The sequence below is a fragment of the Homo sapiens genome, chromosome 2 (assembly GCF_000001405.40).
Source record: "Homo sapiens chromosome 2, GRCh38.p14 Primary Assembly".
NCBI lineage: Eukaryota > Metazoa > Chordata > Mammalia > Primates > Hominidae > Homo > Homo sapiens.
This window is the reverse complement of record NC_000002.12, coordinates 216,069,337-216,081,594: the sequence shown is the minus strand read 5'-3', so window position 1 is coordinate 216,081,594 and position 12,258 is coordinate 216,069,337. Positions and strand designations below refer to the sequence as shown.

At 40.6% G+C, this 12,258-nt stretch overlaps 1 protein-coding gene across 6 annotated transcripts in view, besides 2 other annotated features; it reads left to right on the top strand.

Annotated features, from left to right (window-relative positions):
• The window catches only part of PECR (peroxisomal trans-2-enoyl-CoA reductase), a 52,722-nt gene that overhangs the window by 215 nt on the left and 40,249 nt on the right, over window positions 1-12,258 (top strand). The window lies entirely within an intron of this gene.
• Window positions 25-74: an enhancer, noted in NCBI's record as "active region_17087". NCBI's record gives its function as "activates an Ori minimal core promoter by ATAC-STARR-seq in GM12878 lymphoblastoid cells {active_cell/tissue: GM12878}" and the evidence as "EXISTENCE:reporter gene assay evidence [ECO:0000049][PMID:35858748]".
• Window positions 105-184: an enhancer, noted in NCBI's record as "active region_17086". NCBI's record gives its function as "activates an Ori minimal core promoter by ATAC-STARR-seq in GM12878 lymphoblastoid cells {active_cell/tissue: GM12878}" and the evidence as "EXISTENCE:reporter gene assay evidence [ECO:0000049][PMID:35858748]".

The following is a 12,258-nucleotide window of genomic DNA, read 5'->3' as shown; positions in this document are numbered from 1 at the left end:
AGAGAGGTGGCTGTGGTGACCTGGGGTAACCTGGAGACGGGAGCCAGGAGCTCTCGGCGGGGCTGAGGGAGTGTGGAGCTGCAGAGCAAAGACGGGGCAGGTGTGGGCGAAATTACGACCACCAGGGAGACAGAAGAGAGCAGCTCTTCCTAAGGAATTGTGGAGCCACTCGTTAAAAACTGAAGAGACCACTCAGGCCAAAGAGACTGTGCCCCAGGTAGGCAGTAAGAAGAGCAGTGAAACATGCTGTGCAATTAGTTTTATATTCAGATTTAAAATTAATCCATTCTATATGCTTAATGTGAGTGATTAGGAAACGTGGGAAGACTTCATTTAACTGGAAAAAGTTGTGAACATAGTGAGTCTCTCATAGTATCTTCTCACATCTCTTAACCACAGCAAGGAAATATGCTGAATATTTACCTTAACTTGGGTGAAGGAAGGCCTTTGTAAACACATAAGTGAGGGAATAAACCACAAAGGAGAACATAAATCAATCTACCTGTATGAAAGTGTAAATCCTCATTGAATTAAAAAAATATATAAAGTTTAAAGGCATATGAAGAAAAATATTTGCAACATAAGATAAATTGTTTGTTGGTTTTGAGATAGGGTCTCACTCTGTTGCCTACGCTGGTCTCGAACACCTGGGTTCAAGGGATCCTCCTGCCTTGCCTCTGAGTCCTAAAGTTTTGGGATTACAGGCTGAGCCACTAGATTCGGCCAACAGCCTTATACATAAAGAGCTCTTACAAATAAAGAAAAAATCCAACACACTGATAGAAAAATTAGACTAATGGTATGGACTAAGCGTTCCAAAAGAAGAACTACAGACAGGCAAGAAACATATGAAAAAATAATCAACTTTATTGGTAATAAAATATGAAACAGTAAGATTTAACTTTTCTAACAAAATTTTGAAATGTTGGGAAAAATTAAAGTGTTGATGCAGGAATGAGAAGGCAGGAATGTAAATTATTACAAACTTTCTGGAAGGCAATTTGGAAAAAAAGATCCAAAAACCTTCACAATGTTTATGCTCTATGACAGTAATTCCTTTTTCAGGAATTTAAGGAAACGGAGTCAAGCAAAGATTTTCATGCAAGGATGTAGTCTTGAGTAGTGAAAAAATGGAAATTACCTAAAAATCCAATATAAGGAAAATAGTTAAATCAATAACAATGAAATATAATGCTTCCGTTTAAATATCTTGCTATTGGTCCTGGCGCAGTGGCTCACGCCTGTAATTCCAGCACTTTGAGAGGCCGAGGCGGGCAGATAACCTGAGGTCAGGAGTTTGAGACCAGCCTGGCCAACATGGTGAAACTCCATTTCTACTAAAAATACAAACCAGGCATGGTGGCGTACACCTGTAGTCCCAGCTACTTGGGAGGTTGAGGCGCAAGAATCGCTTGAACCTGGGAGGCAGAGGTTGCAATGAGCTGACGTCAAGCCACTGCACTCCAGCCTGGGCAACAGAGCGAGATTCCATCTCAATAAATAAATAAATATCTTGCTATTGAAGACTTACTTGGAGAAATGCATACCATATTATTGGGAAAAGTAGAATTCTAAACCTAATAGCATTCCAATTTTACTTTTTTTTTTTTTTTGAGATGGAGTTTCGCTCTTGTTGCCCAGGCTGGAGTGCAGTGGCGCCATCTTGGCTCACTGCAACCTCCGCCTCCTGGGTTCAAGCGATTCTCCTGCCTCAGCCTCCCGAGTAGTTGGGATTACAGGCACGCACTACCTTGCTAGGCTAATTTTGTATTTTTAGTAGAGATGGGGTTTCTATATGTTGGTCAGGCTGGTCTCCAACTCCCGACCTCAGGTGATCCGCCCGCCTCGGCCTCCCAAAGTACTGGGATTACAGGCGTAAGCCACCGTGCCCGGCCCAATTTTACTTTTAATAAAATATATACATGCAGGGCCGGGCACGGTGGCTCATGCCTGTAATCCCAGCACTTTGGGAGGCCGAGGCGGGCAGAGCACAAGGTCAAGAGTTCGAGACTAGCCTGGGAAAACATGGTGAAACCTCGTCTCTACTAAGAATACAAAAATTAGCCAGGCATGGTGGCGTGTGCCTGTAATCCCAGCTACTCAGGAGGCTGAGGCAGGAGAATGGCGTGAACCCGGGAGGCAGAGGTTTCAGTGAGCCAAGATCGTGCCGCTGCACTCCAGCCTGGGCGACAGAGCAAGACTCAGTATCAAAAAAAAAAAAAAGTATTACATATGCAAAAATGGACTGGAAGGAAGTTTATAAGATTTTTAGCCATTTTTCTGAAAATAATGTTAATTATGAGTAATTAAAATTGTCTTCGTCTTTTAAATATTTTTTAATGAACATCTAAATTATCTTTGGTTACGACTGTGTTTCCAACATCTGGCACAGTATGAACTAAAAAAAAAAAATCTATGTTTTTAGTTAAAAAAAAAAAAAAAAGCAAAAACATTTCCTAGTAAGGCCATGATGTAACCTCATCACCATTACTGCCCAGTTTATTCTCAACACCAAGCTCTATCCTCTTTCAGGAATATCTGTAAGAAAATCAGAATCAGTTATCAATTCATGCATAGGTCAGATACTAGGCTTCTCAGCAGATTCGTAGGACCCTAGTCCACTTTGAAGGATTTTTAATAGATTTTTATGTATTTGAACTTTCATCCTGTTGCATAAGTGTGCTATTTGAACTTTCATCCTGTTGCATAAGTGTGCTATTTGAACTTTCATCCTGTTGCATAAATATGCATTGGCCAAAAACTACACCCCTGGAATAAGGTGATAGACTATATTTTTCTTACCACAAACTAAAACATTAGGACATTGGTCTTGTAATCTTTTGGAAGACATGAATCTGTCTGAGATTCTGATGAAAGTGGTGGCGTGTCTTTTGAGAAAAAGACATCATATACTTAAAAATATATATACACAATTATTTTGTTGTATTGGAAATGGATTTCCTTCAGTGAAAGAATATTAAAAATCTTTTTCTTTTTTTTTTTTTTTGAGATGGAGTTTCGCTCTGTCGCCCAGGCTGGAGTACAGTGGCGCAATCTCGGCTCACTGCAACCTCCACCTCCCAGGTTCAAGCAATTCTCTGCCTCAGCCTCCTGAGCAGTATTTTTAATAGAGACGGGGTTTTACCACGTTGGCCAGGCTGGTCTTGAACTCCTGACCTTATGATCCATCCCCCTTGACCTCCCAAAGTGCTGTGAGCCACCGGGCCTGGCCATAAAAATCATTTTTATAATTACTTTTTCCTCTTTATTTTTTTATGCCAGAATCAATGGCTATTTCCACGACATTGTCATATTTTTACTAGAGATGGGGTTTTGGCATGTTGGCCAGGCTGGTCTTGAACTCGGACCTCCAGTGATCTGCCCGCCTCAGCCTCCCTAAGTGCTAGGATTACAGGCATGGAGGCCCCGCGCCTAGCCTCCAGTTTTCTTTCTAGTCAGAAGGCCACTGTTTTTTGTTTTTGGTTTTGGTTTTTTGGTGTGAACTATGTCTTTTTGGCATGAACTTTGAGGCATGGTTTTTAAAATGATGATATTTTTGCTTTTTTTTTTTTTTAACGAAAAATACAGGTGTTTTCTTTTTTACTTCATACTATGCCAGATGGTAACCAAAGATAATTTAGATGTTCATTAAAAAATATTTAAAAGACGAAGACAATTTTAATTACTCATAATTAACATTATTTTCAGAAAAATGGCTAAAAATCTTACAAACTTCCTTCCAGTCCATTTTTGCATGTATAATCCATATTTTTTTTTTTTTTTTTTTTGAGACGGAGTCTTGCTCTGTAGCCCAGGCTGGAGTACAGTGGCACGATCTTGGCTCACTGCAACCTCTGCCTCCCAGGTTCAAGCGATTCTTCTGCCTCAGCCTCCTGAGTAGCTGGGATTACAGGCACATGCCACCATGCCTGGCTAATTTTTGTATTCTTAGTAGAGACAAGGTTTCACCATGTTTGCCCAGGCTAGTCTCGAACTCTTGACCTTGTGCTCTGCCCGCCTCAGCCTCCCAAAGTGCTGGGATTACAGGCGTGAGCCACTGCACCCGGCCCTGCATGTATTTTTTTTTGAGATGGAGGTCTTGCTCTGTCACCCAGGCTGGAGTGCGGTGGCGCGATCTTGGCTCACTGCAAGCTCCGCCTCCCGGGTTCAAGCCATTCTCCTGCCTCAGCCTCCCTAGTAGCTGGGACTACAGGCACCCACCACCACACCCGGCTAAGTTTTTGTATTTTTAGTAGAGACGGGGGTTTCACCGTGTTAGCCAGGATGGTCTCGATCTCTTGACCTTGTGCTCCGCCTGCCTTGGCCTCCCAAAGTGCTGGGATTACAGGCGTGAGCCTCGGCACCCCGGCAAATATTTTTTATTAAAAGTAAAATTGGGCCAGGCGCGGTGGCTCATGCCTGTAATCCCAGCACTTTGGGAGGCCGAGGTGGGCGGCCACCTGAGGTTGGGAGTTCGAGATCAGCCTGACCAACATATAGAAACCCCATCTCTACTAAAAATACAAAATTAGCCAGGCGAGGTGGTGCGTGCGTGTAATCCCAATTACTCGGAGGCTGAGGCAGGAGAATCGCTGAACCCGGGAGGCAGAGGTTGCAGTGAGCTGAGATGGTGCCATTGCACTCCAGCCTGGGCAACAAGAGCGAAACTCCATCTCAAAAAAAAAAAAAAAAGTAAAATTGGAATGCTGTTAGGTTTAGAATTCTATTTTTCCCAATAATATGGTATGCATTTCTCCAAGTAAGTCTTCAATAGCAAGATATTTATTTATTTATTGAGATGGAATCTTGCTTTGTTGCCCAGGCTGGAGTGCAGTGGCTTGACAGCAGCTCACTGCAACCTCTGCCTCCCAGGTTCAAGTGATTCTTGTGCCTCAGCCTGCCACGTAGCTGGGACTACAGGTGTGTGCCACCATGCCTGGCTAATTTTTGTGTTTTTAGTAGAGATGGAGTTTTACTATGTTGGCCAGGCTGGTCTCGAACTCCTGACCTCAAGTTATCTGCCGGCCTCGGCCTCCCAAAGTGCTGGAATTACAGGCGTGAGCCACTGCACCAGGAACAATAGCAAGATATTTAAATGGAAGCATGTATATTTCATTGTTATTGATTTAACTATTTCCCTCATATTGAATTTTTAGGTAATTTCCATTTTTTCACTTCTCAAGACTACATCCTTGCATGAAAATCTTTGCTTGACTCTGTTTCCAAACATTGTGGCACATGTGGTGGCATGGCACATGCTTGTAGTCCCAGCTACTTGGGAGGCTGACACATGAGAATTGCTTGAACTCTGAAGGCGGAGGTTGCAGTGAGCCGAGATCACGCCACTGCAATCTGGCCTGGGTGACAGAGTGAGATTCCATCTCAAAAGAAAAGAGAAGAAAAAAATTGGCTAACATTTTCTTTTTTGCTCAATTTGGGTTTATATAACAATGTCTTTCACTTCCACAGGATTTTGACTTTTCCTTTTTCTGAGAGGACACAGAAAGCTTTAGCTCACAAAAGCAGGATATTGTAGGCAGAATTAGATCTCCTTTATACCTTTGACAGGTGCTGTTAGGCAGAGAGAAACCTGATTTCATCAAGGAAAACCTAGCATCGTCAAGTTGAATTCATATCAGATGTTTTTTTATCTTCAAGTTAATCATTCACTTTCTGTTACTACAGTAGAACATAAATTAGGTATAGTAGATAAAATGCAATTAGGAAATGCCGGTGGAAATTATGACCCAAGACAACATTTTTTCTTGCTCTAGTCTAGTCTAACTAGCCTGTTACCAACACCAGGGACCAAGAAGGTGCTGAATAAATGTAGTATTCTGAGTTGAAGATGGAAAGGGATCAGTATCAGCCTAAGCAGGAACGCAGCATACTGGGGCTACAAGCCTCTGATGTTGAAAGAACTCCTTATCCACAAGCTACTTCTATACCTATTCTAAGCAGGTCAGTTGAGCTTTCTGCATCTCTCTAGCTACATATAAACAAAAATAAAGTCTATTGAAATGATTTAGCATGAAAGGCAAGGATTATATATAATATTTTTCTAGTTTATTATAAGGTAGCATAAGAGGTTTGCAATAAATTAAAACAGTATAGAAGTGTATAAAAGAAAAAAATGAGCTTTACCCATTCTGCCCTTTTTCTAAATTCCCTTCCTGGTGATTTTCTACAAATTTAATGTGCACATGTATACACACGTATATATATTTTGTTTTCTACAAAATTGGGATCACAGTATTCTTACTGCTCTGTAATGGTTTTTTTTCCTACTTAAATATCTTGTTTTTTCTTTGTTTTGTTTTGTTTTTTAGAGACAGGATCTTGCTCTGTCACCCAGGCTAGAGTACAGTAGTGTCATCATAGCTCACTGCAGCCTCGAACTCCTGTCTGAAATGATTCTCCTGCCTCAACCTCCCAAGTATCTAAACTATAGGCATGTGCCACAATGTTTGGCAATAAAAAAATTTTTTTAGAGACAAGGTCTCATCCAGGATGGTCTTGAACTCACCACAAGCGACTCTCCAACCTTAGCCTCCCAAATTGCTGGGATTACAAGCATGAGTCACCATGCCTGGCCCATATCTTGTGTTTTTCAATGGTAGTATTGTAGTCATATCTCATTCATTTTAAAGCTGCATAGTATTCCATTGTGTGGGTCTGTAATAACTTATTTAACCATTTCCTGAATGGCCATTTAGGTTTTTATTTTACCCAGCATTGCATTGTTTTTCCCTGTAATATGTTTGCACCCTAGTTCAAGTTTGTCTATAGTGGAAAGTTCTAGCAGTGAAAGTAAATGGACTTGTAAAGTTGTATTTCAGTGCATCTTTACTTGTAGTAGACAACTGTCCTGAAGTCTTGAGGTTTCAGATAGTAACTAGTTATAATTTAGTAAACTTCTATTTAGATAATCCATGTGAATCATCCTATTTATATTCTCAACATATTTTTTACTCGAGGTCTTGGACAAAGTTAGGCATTAATCACCTTGGTGTTCTTGTTTTCTCTCTCTCTCTCTTCCTTCCTTCCTTCCTTTCTTCCTTCCTTCCTTCCTTCCTTCCTTCCTTCCTTCCTTCCTTCCTTTTTTTCTTTCTTTCTCTCTCTCTTTCTTTCTTTTCTTTCTTTTCTTTCTTTTTCTTTCTTTCTTGACACAGTCTCACTCTGTCACCCAGGCACAATCTTGCCTCACTGCAACCTCTGCCCCCAGGTTCAAGCAATTCTCGTGGCTTAGTCTCCTGAGTAGCTGGGATTACAGGCGTGTGCCTCCATGCTCAGCTAATTTTTTTGTATTTTTAGTAGAGGTGGGGTTTCACCATGATGCCCAGGCTGGTCTTGAAGTCCTGAATACAAGCGATCCACCGGCCTTGGCCTCCCAAAGTGTTGGGATTACAGGCATGAGCCACTGCACCCAGCCTAGGTAAAGTTTTTCATCCCTGCCCTATAGAGCCTATGCCCTACTCTGGGAACTAGAGCAAAAAATGTGTATGTTGAAGGCAGAAATATCAAAGAAAGAAGTGGGTGGAGGAAGTGGTGGCTTGTCCTGGGGTGCTTATTTCTCTCCTTTCCATCTCACTGATAAGCTCAGCTATTTCTCCTAAGTGACAGAAACCTAACTGAGTGTTGGATTAGTCTAGAAGTATATACAGTCATGTGTCACTTAACACAGGGAAATCTTCTGAGAAATACATCCTTAAGTGATTTCATCATAGTGTGAACATCATAGAGTGGTAGGCAAACCTAGATGGTATAGCCTACTATATACATGGTTTATATGGTCAATAGCCTATTGCTTCTAGGCTCCAAACCTGTACGGGAGGTTACTATGCTGAAGGCTGCAGGAAATAGTAACACAAAGGTAAATATCTGTGGTCTAAACATATCTAAACATACAAAAGATATAATAAAAATATGGTATTTTTATTATAAAATTATATAAAAACATACAAAAGATATAATAAAAATAAAAGATATAGTAAAAATATGGTATAAAATATAAAAAATGGTACACCTGTATAGAGCACTGTATAGGACACAGGAGCTTACGGGACTGGAAGTTGCTCTGGGTGAGTTAGTGAGGGAGTGATAAGTGAATGTGAAGGCCTAAGACATTATTGTTTACTATTGTAGAATTTATAAACACTGTACACACAGGCTAAACTAAATTTATAAAAAAATAAAGTAATTGCAGCTATGACATTACAGTGGCTACAGCACCACTGGATGATAAGAATGTTTAACTTCCACTTTAATCTTATGAGGCCACTGCCATACATGTGGTCTATCATTGACCAAAACATTGTTATGGGGTGTGTGACTGTGTTTCAGTTATTTTTCCTGCTGGAAGAAGAGGGCCCTCCTGGAAACAAAAGGAGAAAGGAGTAAGCTTCTCCTAACAGTATAACGTATGTTTTTGTTGCACATTATATATTTTGATAAATTAAATTCCATTTTAAAGTTAGGCAAGGCTTACAAGGAACTTATGGTGAATCTTTCCAATTTTTGCTTTATAAAACCCTCAGATTGCACACGAGAATTTCCAAAAGTTGTTACCATTTTTAGTTTACTAAATTATAACCTAAACTTTAAACATAGTTTTTAAAATTGTCTTATTTTGTACAAGCTCTATGGAAAACAGTATGGAGATTTCTCAAAGAATTAAAAATAGAATTGCCATTCAATTCAGCAAACCCACTACTGGGTGTTTACAAAGGAAAATAAATCACTATATGAAGAAGACACCTGCTCTAGTATGTTTATCACAGCACTATTCATAGTAGCAAGTTAAGAATCAACCTAAGTGTCCATCAGTGGATGATTGGATAAAGAAAATATGTTATATATACCATGGAATACTACTCAGCCATGAAAAAGAATGAAATCTTGTCTTTTGCAGGAACATGGATAGAACTGGAGGCCTTTATCCTAACTAAAATAATTCAGAAACAAGGTCAAATGGTGCATGTTCTCACTTATAAGTGGGAGCTAAAGAGTGGGTACACATGGACATACAGAGTAGAATAACAGACATTGGAGACTCTAAAAGGTGGGAGGGTAGAAGCAGGGGAGTGAGGGTTGAAAAATTACCTGTTGGGTACAGTGGCCACTATTCAGGTGATGGATACACTAAAAGCCCCATGTAACAAAACTACACTTGTCCCCCCTACATCTATAAAGATAAGAAATAAAATAAAGTGCCTTATTTTCATATGCAGTAGCTAGCTTATCTTATACAACTAAAATAGTTCAGGCCAAATGGAGAGCCTTTGTACTCTGTGCCTTTGTGAACTTTATTTATTCCACCTGTATATGCTGGACTGTGTGTTAGCCTAACAAATAGAGCAATTACAGGGTCCCTACCTCCCAGGGGATGACAGTGAGTGGAGCAGACTGTTAAATTAACAGGTAATTATGATACAGTGAAATGCTGTATTAGGGTGAAAACAGCCTATAACTGTATCACCTCACATAGAATTTAACACTGAAAAACCACTGCAATCCAGCCTGGGCAACACAGTGAGACCTCATCTTTAAAATATATATGTAAAAGAACCACTTAACAGTTCATAGGTAGTCTTTGCTTTTGCATGGCATTGTGGCATTGTAACAATGATCATGCAAGCTGAAACCATTCAAAGCAAAAATAGTCAATGGGAAAAAGTACAATTATTTCATGACCTTCAAAAATTTTTGTCAAAGTGGCACCCAAACGGGACTTTCAGGGACAAACAGAGACCTGAAGGGACCTAAAGAGGCCTGCAGGGACAAATAGAGATAAGTAGGGATAAATAGAAATAGAGGTAGAGTTAAATAGAGACAAATAGAGAGTTTTGGGCAAAAGTCATCTTAACTTGCAGGGCGTTACTGTAGCCCCAGGAGTTGTTGATTTTGATTGTGAAGAGGAAATTCCAGTAGTGGTAATGTCACAAGAACTTTGGGTTTTTGAACCAGGAGAATATATTGCACAACTATTGCTTGTTCCCTGTAAGTTGCACCCTTCTCCACGAAGGGAGAAGCGAGGGAATCAAGGATTTGAAAGTACAACTAGGAGAGAGATTTATCTATCACAACCCATAACATTTAATGGACTCACCTGTACAGTACAAATTGAAGGCTTAATGATTTTTTTTCTTTGCTATACTGTTGCACGAGAAGGATGAGCTTCAATTTGCTTTCCATGTGCCTTCTGTTAATCAGAGAGAGCCTGCCTCTCCTTATCAATGAGAAGTTTACCCCGTGGTAATTAACCAAAGAGGCAGAAGCTGAGTTACAGCTTGTGGAGCAGATGCTTTGGCAACGGCATGCCTCCTGGCCACAGCCACAAAAGCCTTTGCTTCTGTTTTGGTAGATTTACTGACGTGGGGATAAGGGTACGCTTGCGTTTTTGCAGGAGATGAACAAACTGTGTGGGTGCCCTCAAGGTGTGTGCGACCACAGAACGGGAGACTAGAGCGACCCATGGATCCCAACCATGGGCCCGGTTCCCCCAGTATGAGCTGAATGCGAAGACGGAATGAACCACCAAGGCTGCACATTTTGCAATTACCTGTCTCAATTAATTCAAAAACAAAAAGGGAGAGATGTTGCAGGCTGAAAGAGTGAGGGTCGTGATCAACTCAGTATACCGCTGGAGGGTATATGAGCAAACAGCAAACTGTTCTCATAAATGCAGAATGTTGGCAAATGACAAACTGCGTCTGCCACCCTTGAAGGAATGCTGAGGGCAGTCACGACCCAGGCGCAAGTGTTTCTTGTGATGAGGCACATCTGAAGCCTGTTAGCAATAATGTGAACCTGTGATCAGTTAAGCAGCTGACCAAATGTTACCTGCTCCTCCCTGCTCTTTCTACCCAATAAATACAAAAGGCCGTAGGAGCTCAAGGTTGCTGCCTTTACTCAGTAGAAGCAGGGAACCCTCTTCTTCTTCCCCTGGCCCCTTCCTTTAAAACAGTTTCTTTTGTTTTAAGTTTTCATTTCTGCGTTCATCCTCCTTCGTTCAGTGTCGTAATGACCGTCTCAAATAGTAAGTAGTAACAGTAGTAACTGTCGTAGTGACGGTCTCAAGTAGTAACCATGGCAGTCTGCCACAGAGGGACATGAAAAAAATAATAAAAGTAGACCAGTTTCACTGGGGAGATGTTGGTCAAAGAGTACAAAGTTTCATTTAGACAGGAGGAATAAGTTCTGATGATCTATTGCACAGCATGATGGCTATAGTTAGTAATGCATTGTGTATTTCAAAATTCCGAGAATAGTGGATTTAGCTCAAAGTGGTTCTTAGCTCAAAGAAATGATAAGAGGTGATAGATACATTAGCCTGATTTCATCATTCCACAATATATTTATATATCAAAATATCACATTTTACCCCATAGATGTATAGTTATTTGTCAGTTAAAAATAAAAATTTAAAAACCTCAGTATTGAAAATTAAACTGTTTTATTTTCATGTGAAGTGTGTCGAGTCATTCGATTAGTGCTTGCCTTCTCATTGTATACCTTATGATATAGAGCAAGCATTTTTTTCTGTACCTTGTTAAATTATTGTACTCCTTTCTATGTTTCGATCAGCTTCCAACATTTTATCCTTTATACTTTCAATGTCATGAAATATTTCCAAAAGTTTCTTTTTTTTTTTTTTTTTTGACAGAGTCTTGCTCTTGTCACCCAGGCTGGGGTGCAATGGCACGATCTCAGCTCACTACAACCTCTGCCTCCTGGGTTCAAGCAATTTTCCTGCCTCAGCCTCCGGAGTAGCTGGGATTACAGGCGCCCACCACCACACCTGGCTAATTTTTGTATTTTTAGTAGAAAAGGGGTTTTGCCATGTTGGTCAAGCTGGTCTCGAACTGCTGACCTTGTGATCCGCCCACCTCGACCTCCCAAAGTGCTGGGATTACAGAAGTGAGCCACCATGCCTGGCCCCAAAAGTGTCTTTAATCTGAAGTTTTTTGTGGGCATCACTTCCTCTGGGATATCTTCATCTTCTTTGTCACAGGCACTTTCCTCATGATGTTAAGTTTGCCTTCAGTAAGATCTTTTGGCTTTCTGTAGTTTCTAGACTGGCAGCAGTGTCACGCATTCCCCTTTTATAATTCCCCTGACATGCATTCTAATTTCGCTTCCAGTGTTACAAATTTTCATTTCTTGGTCTCACTTTTCATGTTTGTTGGCCAGTCCCCCCTTAGATCATGTGTTTTTATAAAATGTCACTTGGGTTTCTTGTTGAAAGACCAGGAGGTG